The 16,020-nt window shown below is 35.6% G+C and overlaps 1 long non-coding RNA gene across 1 annotated transcript in view, besides 1 other annotated feature; it reads right to left on the bottom strand.

Annotated features, from left to right (window-relative positions):
* Positions 1-16,020, bottom strand: part of LOC124900404 (uncharacterized) — a 228,127-nt gene that overhangs the window by 186,158 nt on the left and 25,949 nt on the right. The gene's annotated exons all lie outside the window — the stretch shown is intronic.
* Positions 8,917-9,466: an enhancer, noted in NCBI's record as "NANOG hESC enhancer chr1:98552438-98552987 (GRCh37/hg19 assembly coordinates)". NCBI's record gives its function as "activates a minimal SCP1, AML or CMV promoter by ChIP-STARR-seq in primed H9 embryonic stem cells {active_cell/tissue: H9 hESC(primed)}" and the evidence as "EXISTENCE:reporter gene assay evidence [ECO:0000049][PMID:30033119]".

Raw genomic sequence — 16,020 nt, 5'->3', positions numbered from 1 at the left:
TCGGGAGGCTGAGGCAGAAGGATCACTTGAACCCGGGAGGCAGAGGTTGCAGTGAGCCAAGATTGTGCCACTGCATTCCAGCCTGGGAAACAAGAGTGAAACCATCTCACAGAAAAGAAAAAAAAATAACAAAAACAAACCCTCACTTTTCCCACCAAGGCCATATGTCCCCTTTGTGCTCTTGGGATTCAGATCATAGGCTAGTGCTTTGAGGGACATTATGGAGTTCCTCTAGAGCTAACCTAGATATCTGATTGTGGTTTAATTCAACTATAAATCTATTGTGAACTACTGCTATGGTTTGACTGTGTCTGCCAATAAAACCTGATTCCCAATACAATAGTGCCAGAAAGTGGAGCCTAATAAGAGGTGATTAGCTGATGAGGGCTCTCCTCTCATAAATAGATTAATACAGGAGTGGGTTAGTTATTGCAAGAGGGAACTTGTTATAAAAGCTAGTTTGCACCTCTCTTGCTCTCACCCTATCTCTTGCCTTTCTGCCTTCCACCACGTGATGATGCTTTATGAAAGCCCTCACCAGATGCAAGTCCATCAAACTTGGACTTCCCAGACTCCAGAACAATAAGAAATAAATCTCTGTTCTTTGTAAGTTACCCAGTCTCATTTATTCTGTTATTGCAGCACAATACGGACAAAGCAACTATTTATAGCACTCTATAAGTAAATGCCTTCCTGGTTCCAAATAAACACATACATGTATATGTTAGAATCCAATCCACTTACTATCTGGAGGATTTTTGAAGAATAATTAAAATTCACACGTTCACTTCTTCACTCACTAGGCCTGTGAGTGGTTCAAGATAAGATCTATATTATAAGCATAAAAAACAATTAATTTATTTGTTACTTAGGGGGCTCTACACAGATCATTAATGCTAAATTCATATGTAAAAGTCAATAATGTCTATCAGTGAAAGATAACACATTCAAGTCTCTTAATATAACCATTTTGTAAATATTTACTTTGGTAGCAGGAATTTAAAGTGGAAGTTTCACCAAGTCAGATACTAAGATACCATAAAGGGTGAATTTCACGCCCAGAATTTAAAAATGAATGGGTGAAAAGTGGTTATTGGACTCTTGAAAACCCTCACCCCCACCAAAGATATAAAATGGCCAAGATTTTGAAAACTAAAAGAGGATTTGTAAGGAAAGCCATTCTTTAGAGACAGCCTTCAGTGTGCTGTGAGTAGACAGGGAAGGAGATATCTTCCTCTCAGCTCAAGCTTAGACAATAGGGCCAAATGTATGCCCCGATATGTGCTACCTGGATTTCGGGGGGCACAGTGGACTGGTGTCTGGCATACACCTGAGAAATCTAAAGGAAAAATGCTCTGCTGTCAATCTGAGGTAGCAGGCAGTGAAATAGATTGACATGGGCTACACCAGTGTGGCTATCGGGATTCAAAAGTGTGGCCCAGGGAAGCAAGGGCCAGCCTGGAGTCTATGGAAAAACTGGATAAAGAGGACGATCTGGTGGGCAAGGTAAGCCCAACGGGGTAGATCCATGTGGGGCTGATAAGGGAACAGCCAGGCAGAGGAAAATGCCCCATATGAGTTCCAAATTACCCTCCTCTAGGGAAGTGGGGTCAGAGAGGCTTCCAGTGAGGGTCTCTGAAGAAACGGCAAAAAGCTCATGAGGGAAAGAACAGATTTAAACCTCCAATGCCACTGCACAGCAGTGTCAGCCAAGTAAAACCTGGGCCTCTTCGCCACCGTCCCTTCTGGAATTTCAACACTGGCAGTATCAAATAGAACAACTTGCCAGAGAGAAGGAAGGAAGAAAGACAAGAGAAAGTACTGCTGTGCATCCAGCCCTCTGTAAGGACAAAGAATTCCTCCAACTGCGAATGAAATTACAAGTTTTGGTTATTACATAGGACCCTACACATTTCTAATTATTCAGTGAAGACTACGTTTGCGACTTAAAATGGCTGTAGGGCTTTTTATTACTCAAGAATAAACAAAATTTTAGCCTGTGTGAGTTTTTACCCAGGGTCAGAGGAGGAACTTCTCCCCACTGAATAAATTTCATTAGAATATGGGAGAAAAAATAAAGTTGCTTTTGATTACATCCCATGAGTCTTGCTCATTGAGCATATCAGTTAAACTTCTTAAGATAGAGGGAATTGCTTAAGGGAATACACGATGATTCTTCTCAGCAACTTATAAACAGACTCTAATTCATAAATTTGCTAACGGCTCTTTCCTGCTAGACATTAAAAGAGAAAAAAATATCTCTGTTTGGTCATTAGCTTTAATTTAGATATAGCCTTAGAGTTACAAGGAACATCTTGAGGACAAGCAAATGGCTCTAGACTTTATTAAAACCACACTCCAATGAAACACTCTTGAAGCAGTGCCCTTTAGAAACGATCGCTTGAAATAGATGAAATGCAGTTCTTTGAAAATTTGTCCAACTCTTGTTGCCCTTTGTTTTTTCAGTGCGTGTGCATGATCTGTCTCTTTCCCCCTCACCAGTAGCAAGAAGTCTTCATGCTCAAATTTAGGGCCACTAAGCATTCTCTGATGTTCATCTCCACCATTCTTTCCCCAAAATGACTTATTAAGCACATTTTTTTTATATATAGGGTCTCACTCTTTTGGCCCAGGCTAGACTCAAACTCCTGGGCTATAAGGATCCTCCACCTCTGCCTCCTGAGTACCTGGGACTACAGGCATGAGCCACCACACCCAGCTTTTATTTCTTTTCTTATCTTTCTTTTTTTTTTTTGAGACGGAGTCTCACTATGTCACCCAGACTGGAGTGCAGTGGTGTGGTCTTGGCTAACTGCAGCCTCCACCTCCTAGGTTCAAGTGATTCTCATGCCTCAGCCTCCCAGGTAGCTGGGATTGCAAGTGTGCGCCAACACACCTGGCTAATTTTTTTTTGTATTTTTAGTAGAGATAGGGTTTCGCCATGTTCGCCAGGCTGCTCTTGAACTCCTGACCTCAGATGGTCCACCTGCCTCTACCTCCCAAAGTTCTGGGATTACAGGAATGAGTCACTGCACCCGCACCCAGACTTATATTTCTTAAACATCAAGTATAGACCAGGCTCCAGGTAGTGATACTAAGATGACTAAAATCTGCCATCCCAGGACTACCAATGTAGAAATGGAGCTAGACAGTTAAATAAGAAAATCACTAACAGAGAACAAAAAAATACACTGTGGGAGCAGAGATGATTAACTCCACTTAGAGAGGTTGAGGAAGCCCTCCCAGAAGAGGTGACAATTTGATCTGAGTCTTGACAATTTGATCTGAGTCTTGACAAGTGAGTAAGGGCTCATCAGGCAAAGAGCAGGAATAGTGTTTTAGGCATTATGTGAATGAGGGACAGTGAGAAGGAGCATGGATATTCTGGGAATTGGATAGAATTTAGAAAGTGATGAGGGCAGGAAATGACTCTTGGCGATGGCAGGGATCAGAAGAGATTACCTGTGTGGTTTGTCTTGTTGGGTGACCTGTAAATGAAAGGGAACCAATGAAGAATAGTCAAGCTACTAGATCCCTGACTGGAAGAAGACAGAAACTGAGTGAAGGAAGTTATGATGACTTTCCATACATACACAAGAACCACATCTTTCTCTTGTTCTTCCTGAGCTAACAGATTGTGCACATCATATCAAACTGTCTGGGTATTTTAGTGAAACTGCACAGTGGCATCCACCTCAAATTTAACTCAGAGAAAATTCTTCCGGTTTCTGAATTAAATGCAAAAGAAGATAGATGCATCATACCGCTAAAAGAATAAAGTCTTTTAAAAAGGTAACCCTGTGTTACTCCTTAGCGTTCTCATGACACTGAGACAAGGTATTGAATCAGATATATAAAATTGTTGACAACTTTTTGTATGTGATAATAATCTGTTCAAAAATTTAACTGACTTATGACATGTGCTTTTCTTTTTTTATTGTGTTTCCTTCAGTTTGTGTCTCTCCCCACACCTCTTGCATTTTGGTACTATGAGATGTACTTTGCTGTTTTTAATGTCAATTATTGTGAATGAAGTCAAGATTATATGCTACTCTGGGTTTACAAATTTATTATTTATTCCAACACTGTTTCCTCCAGAGAATCAAAGAACATGGTTTTAAAAATTAAAGATAAGGCCAAACACAGTGGCTCATGACTGTAATCCCAGAAGTTTGGGAGGCGGAGGTGGGTGGATCACTTGAGGCCAGGAGTTCAAGACCAGCCTAGCCAACATGGCAAAACCTCGTCTCTATTACAAAAAACAAAAATTAGCCAGGTGCAGTGGCAAGTGCCTGTAGTCCCAGCTATTTGGGAGGCTGAGACTGGAGAATCACCTTAACCCGGGCGGTAGAGGTTGCAGTGAGCCAAGATTGCGCCACTGCACTCTAGCATGGGGCAATAGAACAAGACCCTGTCTCAAAATAAAATAAAATAAAGATTATATTTATTATTTCTTCATGAAACTCTTGAGAGGTGAGCATCAAAAAAGCAACAAAAAACTTAGATGTTTGAGTTTTATTTTCAAGTTTTCTAAAACTATGATTGAGTTTAAGAATGTTAAGATTTAAATGAAGAATAAGGTAAACTGTTTTATTACATAACTAGTATCACAAAATATTGTGGGATTTTTAGTCCTATTATATATTTAAAAGATATTTTATTCTGTGATCCTTGACAGATTATATAATTATAAATATTATTGTTATAAATATTATTTATAATCATTTTAACTGATTAATTTATGTGAATCACAAGTAAATACTTTATTCTATTCTACTTATAGCCTTTCATAGTCCCAATTTTTGTCCCTATACATGAGATTGAGTAATTTATAAAGAATAGAAATTTATTTCTTATAGTTCTGTAAGCTGGAAAGTCAAAGAGCATGGCGCCACATCTGGTGAGGATCTTCATGCTGCATAATTCCATGGTGGAAGGAGGAAGTGCAAGAGAGGTCACAAGGGCAAGAGAGCAAGAGGGAGGTGACCTCATATTTAAAACAAGCTCATGCTCATGATAACAAACCCACTCCCTAGTTAATGACATTAATCCATTGATGAGGGCAGAAACCTCATGACCTAATGTCCTTTTATTAAGTCCCACCTCCCAACACTGTGGGATTGTAGATTAAGTTTCCAATATATGAACTTTGAGTGACACATTCAAACCACAGGATGGCCCATAGCACATTTGATTATAGCTTATTTTCTCAGTATAGAATTTTGTTTCTACTTGTACATAGCATTTGCCTGTTGTAACATCTCTTGTAATCATAATGATTTACTGAATCTCTTTCCCTCAAAAGACTACAGCCATTATGAGGCCAGAGGTCATATCAATCTAATTCATCCTTTTATTTCCATACCTAGATAAATGCCTAATGCAAGATAGGTGCTCAATAAATATCTGGTGAATGACATTTGAATTTGAAATGTGCCATTAGCCATTTTTAAAGCATGGACAAGATAACCTGAAGACCTGTTTCCTTATCTGTAAAGTGGAAATCATAACATAAAGTTCACAGGATGGTTTTAATATTAAATTAGATAGCTACATATACGGTCTTATTTAGAACTCTAAGAATTCTGATCTGGTCTATCTGTTCTAATCTATCAGTACTTCCACACAGTAGAGAAATAGTTTAAAAGGGAACACATGTAAGGGAATGAAGAAGGTGGTTAAATATTTCTGTTGAGTGTAGCTTGACATTACTCTGAAGTATGAAAATGGGAATCCAAAAGGAATTGAGGACCAGATGCATCATCATTGTTAGGTTTTTTACCCACACAAGTAATTCTCTCACTGTCTTTGCATCATCAATATTCCCCTCTATAATCTGTGAGTGAATTATTAACATCAGTGTGTGGTGAATTAGTCACCTCACTATATACCCTAACAATATTTTTTCCATTGGCCTCACATCATCTTCTAGCTACCATTCCATGTATCTCCTCCCCTTTCAACACAGCTTCTAGAAGATGTTGTATTTTTTAAAATATCTCCTTTGCCAAACCTAATGGGCAATTTTAGAGCTCATCTTAGTAACCTATTAGCAGCATTTGAAAGAGTTGATCTTACTCTCCTTCTTGCACCCTTTATCAAAAAAAAAGTTACCCAAATATCAAAATAATTGTTACTATTTTTTTTTTTTAGACAGAGTTTCACTCTGTCACCCAGGCTGGAGTGCAGTGTTGCGATCTCAGCCTCCCGGGGTCAAGCAGTTCTCTGCCTCAGCCTCCCAAGTAGCTGGGATTACAGGCGCCTACCACCACACCTGGCTAATTTTTTTTTTTTTTTTTTTTGTATTTTTAGTAGAGACGGGGTTTCACTATCTTGGCAAGGCTGATCTTGAACGCCTGACCTTGTGATCCACCCACCTCAGACTCCCAAAGTGCTGGGATTACAGGTGTGAGCCATCATGCCTGGCCTCAAAATGATTTTTAAAGTGTACATACACAAACACACACACACAACTATGGATATGTATCATTAGCCCCTCCCTTTATTATAGATAAGGTATAGATAAGTATTTTTTACTTAATAATACAACATGGAGATTTTTCATATTAGCTCTGTAAAGAGATTCCTTATCCTTTTCTAAAACTGCATAATATTCCATCATGTGGATGCACTTGAGTTTGAATAATCAGCTTCCTATAGATGAACATCAGGTTATATCCAATTTTTTGCTGCTATATAAAATGTTTCAATGAATAGTGATATTCAGTCATAACTTCATATTAGTGCCTTTTATATGCATTATGTATATAGTAGAAGTTCCTGGAAGTGGGATTACTGAATTATAAGGTAAATTCACTTACAATTTTTATAGGTATTATCAAGTTGCTGTCCAGTGTAATACATGAGAGACAGTAGTTTTATTTTGCATTGCTCTTATTCTAAATCACTCCATGCTTGTCAAATATACTGTTTTCACTAGGCTTCCAGAAGACAATTTCTCTCTTGATTCTCTCCTTAGGCTAATGATTCTCTCTTTTTCTGACTTCTTTCTATGACCCAACCTCTAAATGTGGCATGCCCTCACAGCTCAGCTTTTGTTTTCTCCAGTAGAATATCCCTAGAATCCAGAATAGCACCTGTCACAGAATATATGTTCAATAAATATGCATGAAAAGAATGTAATATTTGCAGAATTTAACTTCCACAAAACCTTGCAAAGTAATAAATAGTAATCACATTTTATAGTTGAGGGCACTAAAATTTAGTAGTTACATAATTTTCCAAAATCACTGCTAGTAAGTGGTAGAGGCTAAGATTAAACCTAGGTCTGGTGAATCCAAAGCTAGGAGAAAGAAAAAATGACAGTTGCAAAGAAGTGTAGTTCAATATTATCTACATTTGGAAAACTGTAAACAACGTAATTGTCCTACAGTAAGGAGTGTTTAAATAAATAAATATTAACTTTATTATTATGAGTCCATTAAAATGAACATTATAGAGACTATGTGGTTACATGGGAAATTCTTCTGATATTAAAATGTACATCTAGATTATGATTACAAATGATTAATAAACTAAAAGATTTACATTTTTTGTCTAGAGGACTATGAATTTCTTTTTATCTGACTTCTGTGATTATAATGTTTATTTAACTTCTAGACACATATTAAGAAAATAGAAAAATCTTTATTTTAAATCTTGTATAAATATACCTATATTAGGATAACATGTTCCGCTGACTAGCAGTCTCTATGATATCCTGTAATTTTTGAAGAAAAGAACAAACGTTGAAATCATAATGTAAACATAACACACAATTTCATTGCATATATTGTTACAGAAAATATGCAGTAGATATTGGCTTGGGATACCTGACAATTAGCAACTTTAAAAAAAGTAGGTCATGTACTATATAAACACTATATAAATCTTCAGTAAATAACCACGATACCATGTAATAACTTCCTTTCATATCAAAACAGTTTTTTTATCACTTATATTATCATTTAAACTATCTTTAATTTGGCATGGTTTTCTTCTTCCCTTAATAGACTCCTCTATAAAGTGTAATATTTCCAAGAACACAAAATAGAACTGCAGTTGCTATTTAACTTAATACTCTAAAGTTTTTAAACTAACAAAATAACGTTTAGTTATTTGAAAATTAATGATGATATCTCATGTAAATCCACAATTTTATATGTATACTGTTCACATTGTTGTTAAAATATAGCAGAATGCAGATGGTGATAACAAAACTGATATTATCTGACATAAATATAAATTTGTCAGACAAATGTGCTATCTCGCTCTGTACTCTATGAAATATAGGGATAAACTACAGGCACTTTTAATCCAACCAGTAAATTTTTTTAGAGTTATTAATCTCTGGTAGAGAATCAAATAATTCAAATATTTAAACAAGTTAGAAATCAGTATGCTTACATGATCCAAAAGTAATCCAACGGAATTAAGTGTAATGCTATCTTCCCAGAACTTAGTTTTTAAACACATATACACATGCAACAAACATAAAGACTCCAGATAAAAATTGATTTTGATTATGGTCAAATACTGACAAATAGGTTTATCTTCCTTATTCTGCATCTCAAACCATAGTAGAAAAGAATATTAATGATGAAATGTATAAAGGGTTTATGTAATAACTATGGTAAAGATTGATTGAGCACCATTGCTCCGCGAACCGTCTAAAATAAATGGGGTCTTGAGAAAGAGATATTTTTCTGCATCTCAAAGCCATCTCCTCTACTTGGGCTCACAATACTCTCTCCTCACCTGTCGAGGCATCTTCTCACCTGTCGAGAGCACATTCATAGCATCTTTCTTTTACAGCTTCATCTCTCCTTCTCCATGGGCTTCTTCCCTTGTGTCTCCAAATATGCATGATTCTCCATTTAAAAAGCAAAAATTATTTCTTTTCATTCTTCTAATTCTTCTAACCTATTAATATATTCCTTTCCACAAATTTTCATAGGAATCATATGCATTTTACTCTGGATGATGAAGGCTAGTAAGACTGAGCAGCATGACATGAATTCATTAACATATTTAACACTAGGCAAGGGTCGTATGAGATTCACTGAATGAGATTAGTAGCCCACAAATCCTCTTCTTTACTTGCTTCTTTTAAGAACTCAACCATTCTCATTTCTCATTACTGAGCTTCCATTCAAACTAAATATCCTTTGTTCATTCTTCAACTCTTCAACAGAGCACATTTCACTCTTTTTTCATAACAATGAAGCTCTGGCTGCTTTCCCGCCTTTCCACACTCTCATTTGAGGTTACTTGCATTGTCCCTCTCTATAGCTTCGTCTGTCTGCAAATGCCTCCTACAAGACACTCTTTTCTCCTTAGCATTTACTCTTCAGGAGAATTCATCCAGTCTCATATCTAATCACTGACTCATTCTGCAAACATTCAGAGGGTGTTTATTCTATGCATGCCAGTGTCCTGAGCACTGAGTTCACAAGTATGAGTAAGGCAACATACTTGTCCTTAGAGAGCTTAGAATTGAGTTGAGGAAAAGACAAAAAAAAAAAAGAAAAGAAAGCAGTTATTGAGGTGTAGCTAGGACAATGGGCCCTGCAGAGGAGAGGAAGCCTCCTAGATAACGGAACATTTGAATCATAACTTAGTAGAAGATGGTCAGGTATTTAAACATATATATACATATATACCTATATACATATTTAATATGTGATATATGTTTACATAATATTATATATACACATAATATTATATATTATATATGTATATATGTGTATATATTGTATGTGTAAATGTGTGTATATATACACACATATATGTGTATATATTGTATGTGTATATATACACACATATATGTGTATATATTGTATGTGTATATATGTGTATATATACACATATGTGTCCCACATGCCTAAAACTTACTCCTCCTTTTTTTTTTTTTTTTTTTTTTTGGAGATAGTGAGATGGGGTTTCCCTCTGTCACCCAGTCTGGAGTGCATGATCCTGACTCACTGCAACCTCCACCTCCTGGGCTCAAGAGATTCTCACGCCTCAAACTCCTGAGTAGCTGTGACCACAGATGCATGCCACCATGCCTGGCTAATTTTTTGAATTTTTGGTAGAGACAGGGTTTTGCCATGTTGCCCAGGCTGGTCTCAAACTCCTGGGCTCAGGTGATCTGTCCCCCCAGCCTCCCAAAGTACTGAGCCACTTTTGGCCTGGTCACTCTCTCTTTCTTTAAAACAACTCCCCTCTTCTACTTCGCCATTTCTTTAACACTGCAATGGGGCTCTCTGGTCCACTAGACTTGAAAAGCCCACATTCACATTCTATCATTCTTAGGAAAAATATATTTTGCCCATACCAATTATACTGTTACCATTTTAACTTCAGAAAATCCTGGATGGGTGTGAGCGTTTGACTTAAAAAAGTACAAATCCTAGGTTTTCTTGCAATCAGTGAATTTAATCAGTCTGGGGCAGCTTGGGAAACAGGTATTTTTTTTAATATCACCAGGTGACTCTAATATGAAGCCACTTGTCTATGTTCTCATCACTACAAACCTCCATCTAATCTGTCCCTAATCTGTTTCAACAGAAAAATGTCAAATTAATCTTGCAAAAACACTGCTTTAATCACATTTCTCAGATCTAATACAACTGGAACCTTCTCACTTGATCTCTGCAATTTAAAATTCTAAAAAAATTCTGTCTTCTAACAAATATTCTTCATTCATTCATGTAATCAGCTGTTATTCAGTATCTAAATGTTAGGCTCAGGGAACTGATAGTTCTCAACTCCTCACAGTCTTCATTCCAACAAAAAAGACAGACACTATATAACCACAATTAAGTGTGATCAGTCTTAAGACAAGGAAATACTAGACTCTAAAGAAACCCATAACAAGAGAAGTTAGCTTAGTTGTCAAAGATGATCCGCTACGCTTTAAATTGAAACATCATCAAAAATTTATCAGGTAAAATGGAGAGGGAAAGGGACGATTTCCAAAAGGTAGGCCAGCATAAGCAGCATATGGTGGTTAAGTGAGAGAGATACCTCACCACTTTTGAAATGTGGAAATAGTTTCATTTCTAAGGGGGGTAATTTGTAAGGAGAACTGTTAGATATGAGTGAGGCCAGACCACACAGGCCCTTATAATGCAGCTAAGGAGTCTGGACTTTATTCTGAAGGAAATGGAAAATCACTGAGTACTTTTATGCAGGGAGTCATTTGCAAGTTTGTGTTTTTGAAAGATCACTCCAGCAGCAATGCAAGGAACAGATGAAGGGGAAGCAAAATTAGAGTTGGAGAGGACATGTGAGAGACTTGCAGTAATAATGAAAGAGATAGGGAATGGATGGTTTGGATTAAAGAAAATTAGATGGATTGGGAAGGAGTTCAGATTTAGAGTCAACAGTCCTTGGTGACAGCGAATATAAGGAACAGAGTGATACTAGGGATGACTCCCATATTACTGGTTTGGAAAAGTTGGTGAATGGAAGCATGATTTACTGAAGCAAAGAATATTGCCAGCAAAACAGTATTTTCTGTGTTGTCGGGTGGAGAAACGTAATTAACTCACTTTCAGATATTTTAAGTTTGAAGTTTCTTAAAAACAAGTTGGCTCTGAGTGAATGGATATCAGAGTGGTGGGACAACAATCAGGAGTGGCCACAGATGCCAAAGGAAAGGAGGAAAGGTAGTGAATGTTGCAGGAAGGGGCTTATTAGATTCGCAGACCCATCAGTTATTAGTAACCTAAGGGGGAAGGCAGAGTAGAGTGTGCTGAAGAGTGATAATGAAGGGAGAAAATGGACAGTCAGTGTTGAAAACTCTCCCAAAAGTCTGATCAGGGAAGAAAAGAAAGATTTTGAAATAATCAGAGGAAGTGCTGCACTTTACGATGGTTTGTTTTCCTTGGGTCAATGAGTTTGGTAGGAGTTTTGTTTAGTTTTAAATTTGATAAGTAGGCATATGTTTACATTCTGAAGGAAAGGGCCAGCATAAAGAGAAACACTGAAAATCATGAGGAGACAGTATGTATAACCATGGCTCAAAGTCTATGAGACATTAAGAGAGGGTGAGATCCAGAAAAGAATTGGAGCCTTTAAAAACCTTTATGTAAGGGAAGTTCCTTCTCAATCTTAGTAGGATGGAAACGACTGTCAAATAATAGCTTATTCCAATGCAATTTTAACTATTCCAGAAAACAGTAAGGACAATAAATTTTTTAAAAAAATTAAAAAGCAATGAAAGCATTCATACTAAAACATGAAAAAAATTCAAAAGCATCTACAGAAAAATCTCACTTGTGAATATCAGTGCAAATATCCTAAGTGAGATGTTAAAAAGCAAAATCAAGAAATGGTTTAACATAACAAGAAGAAAAGAGGTGTAGTAGCTGAACATCTTCAGGAATGCCAAGATGGGAGTTGAATGCCAGTCACTGTTGGCATTTAATAGGAAGAAGGGGGAAGACGGAAGAGGAAGGAAATCTATGCCAGGTATTCCTCTTCTTGTTAGGAAAGCAAATATTCTTCTAAGTTTCCCTGGAAGTCTGCTGTTTGTCATATGGGCCATAATTGAGTCACTTGGCCTCTCGTAACTAAAAATGAGGGTGTGTGGTGAGCAATTACCTCCAAACTCAGTGTAGAAGCAGCAAGGGAGCTTGGGATTGAGAATGGCTTGCGAATACTCATCAATAATCTATGCACAGCATGCATTCATTTCTTTGTATTTTACTCTTTACTGTATCTTAATTTACATTTGCAAATCAAAGTATAAATTGATGCTGCTGTAAAAAAATTAAAACTAAAAAAAGAACTACTTTAAAATTATAGTACATCACAAGTAAAACCATCAAATCTATTAATCTAATTCACCTAATTGACAGAAAAAAATTATATAGTCATTCCTTGGATCAGAAAAGACATGACAACATTAAACATCCATTCTAGATTTTTTTAAACATTCATCAAAATAAGTATATATGAATACTTTCTTAACAGTGCATGTGTGTATGTGTGTGTGTGCACGCGCGCGCGTGTGTGCGTTGTGTGTATGTGTCAGAGAGACGAGAGAAATATCAGCCCACAAACTGGCATTCAACCTAATGGAGACATTCTTGCTGAAGTTTAAACAAGAAAAGGATAGTCACACTCACCACTGCTATTTCATTTTGTACTGACAAGAGAAAATAATTAGAGATATAACACTTAAAGGGGGTGGGAAAACTCTTCCTATTTGCAGAAAATTTTGTTATTGGAAAACACAAAAGAATAAAATGGAGAAAAACACTACAAAAGCAAGATAATTGAGAATGAATTAAGATAGCAAGGAAAATAATTAATTCATAAAAATTAGTATCAATCATACGTAGATACAGCAAGTGAGAAGATAAATGGAAAATAATATACATTTACAATAGCCACAGAAAGATAAAATATTATGAAATAAACTTTGAAAAATGTGCCAAACCTATATAAGCAAAACCTGAAAATACTCCTAAAATACACCTAAGCGTGACTGAAGAAATAGAAAGACATATCATGTTGTTGGATAGGAAGGTGCAACATAATGAAAATATAAACTATAAGTTAATTTACACATTATACACAATTCCAATAAAAATATCAATAGATTTGTTGTAGAAATATACAAGCTAATTCTAAGTGTATACGGAAAAAATAAAAAAGAGTAAATTACCAGGAAAACTTTTTTTTTTTTAAAGAACACTGATGTAGGAATAATTCTACTAGGTATTAATCATACTCAAAAGCAGTGCTATCTAATAAAAATATTAACGAAAGCCACCTATATAATTTTAAAACATTTAGTAGCTACAATATAAAAATTTTTTAAAAGGTAGAATTAATTTAAAATATATTTTATTTAAGCCAATATATCAAAACGTTATTTCAACATGTAATCAAAATAAGTTATTATTAATATATTTAAAATTCTTTATTTAAACTACATCTTTAAAATCCAGTGTATAGTTTACAATTACAGCACATCTCATCTCATACCAGTCACATTTCAAGTGCTCAATAACCTATGTATTAGACAGCCTAGCTCTAACAACTAAAACAGTAAATTATTGGCACTGGAATAAGCAGACATGTGAATGAAACCAAATAAAAAATAGATTCAAGTAGAAACGTCAATTTATTATATGATAAGGTAGTATCTCAAATCAGTGAGTCAAGGACAAAGTTTTTAGTAATGGTGCTATAACAAATGGATAAGCATCAAAAGACAAATTCTGATCCTTATCAGTAAACACTAAGTGGACCAAAGACATAAATGTAAAAGGGAAACCATAAAAGTACTAGAAAAAAAATAGACACATTTCTTCATAGCCTTGGAAGAGCAGATTCTATTTGTAACTCAAAAATCCAGAAACTATGAGGGAAAAAGACTAAGAAGTTGCATTACATTTTTTAAAGAAGTCCACAAGGCAAAACACATCAAAATAAAATGTACACACATAAAAAGGGCAAAGCGGAAAAAATTGTTAATTGATGTCAGAAACTTAAAACTAAACCCCTACATAAATAACAAGCTTTAAGATATGGAGAAGAAAAAGACCACCAATACAATAAGCAATTAGAAAAGGATGTGAGTAATTCTCAGTAATAAAAATACAAGCAGTTTTTAAACATGAAAATTTCTCAGCTATCATTTCTCACCTATCATATTGACAAAAAAAGCAAAATGTGATAAATATACTCTGTTGTCAAACCTATGGGAAAATAGGCATCAAAATTATTAATTTTCTTTCTTCTTTAACCCACTTTTAGGAACTGACTTAGATATACTTTCACATGAACAAAATGACAAGTATACCAGCGTTTCATTGTGGCACTCCTCATAAAAGCAAAAAGTTGGACACAGACAAGAGGCCTACAATAGAGAACAGTTGAACATAAACTATAGTGCATACATATATTAGCATGCTATGCAACTGTGGTTGATCCTTGAACAATATAGGTTTTAACTGTGAAGACTTTATACACAGATTTTTTTTTCAATAAAAGTTACAGCATGTGCACCTGCCTCTTCTGCTTCCCCTTCCACCTTCTCCACCTTTTCCACCAGTGCCCTCTCCAAGACAATCAAGACCAACCCTTTCTCTTCTTCCTTCTCCTCAGCCTACTCAACATGAAGATGATGGCTTTTATGAGGATCCACTTCTACTTAATGAATAGTAAATATATCTTATCTTCCTTATGATTTCTAATTACATTTTCTTTTCTCTAGCATATTTTATTGTAAGAATACAGTGTATAATAAATATAACATATAAAATACATGTTAATCAACTTTATGTTATCAGTAAGGCTTTCAGTCAGTAGTGGGCTATTAGTAGTTAAGTTTTGGGGAGTCAAAAGTTATACATGGATTTTTGACTGTGCAGAAGTCAGCACCCTTAACTCCCACGTTGTTCAAGGGTCAACTGTACTAAAATAGCAAATAAACAGAAAATGATAAAAATATTTTAGTGAAAAATAAATACATATATACAAATAATGCTGATTTTAATATGAAAAGTAGAAATATAAAATACTTGTTTTTTATTCATATATATTTGCACAAAGAAACACTGGAATGCTGTCCACCTACAGTGGGTAGGAGGAAATGGGGTGGATAAGAGGGAAAGTGTTGTGATTTTGATTTCAAACCACATGAATGAATTACCAATTCACAGGAAGAGAACATAAGGTCAAATATATATGTGCTTGTGTGTATTTTTGCATGTGTGTGTGTATGTGCATGAACCACTTTTTGAGACAACGGGAAATGGAGATCATTATTGGTAATCAAGAGACTAGTTCTAAGTCTGGCTCTTCTAAAATTAGGCTATTACATTGCCTTTAATTTTTACTTTTGTTCCATAAAAATGAATGAACATCTTTCAGCATGGTTATTATAATGACATTTTAACATTTTAGTTAGATTATAATTCAAGATAAAGTTAGATATTTTAGAGTAAATTGGAATTGGAGAAAAAATGAGAAGGAAGACTTGAAGCAGGTGAAGGATAC

Source organism: Homo sapiens, chromosome 1, assembly GCF_000001405.40.
Source record: "Homo sapiens chromosome 1, GRCh38.p14 Primary Assembly".
In the NCBI taxonomy this organism is placed as follows: Eukaryota; Metazoa; Chordata; class Mammalia; order Primates; family Hominidae; genus Homo; species Homo sapiens.
The sequence above is the reverse complement of the archived record's forward strand: the minus strand, read 5'-3'. Positions and strand labels throughout refer to the sequence as shown.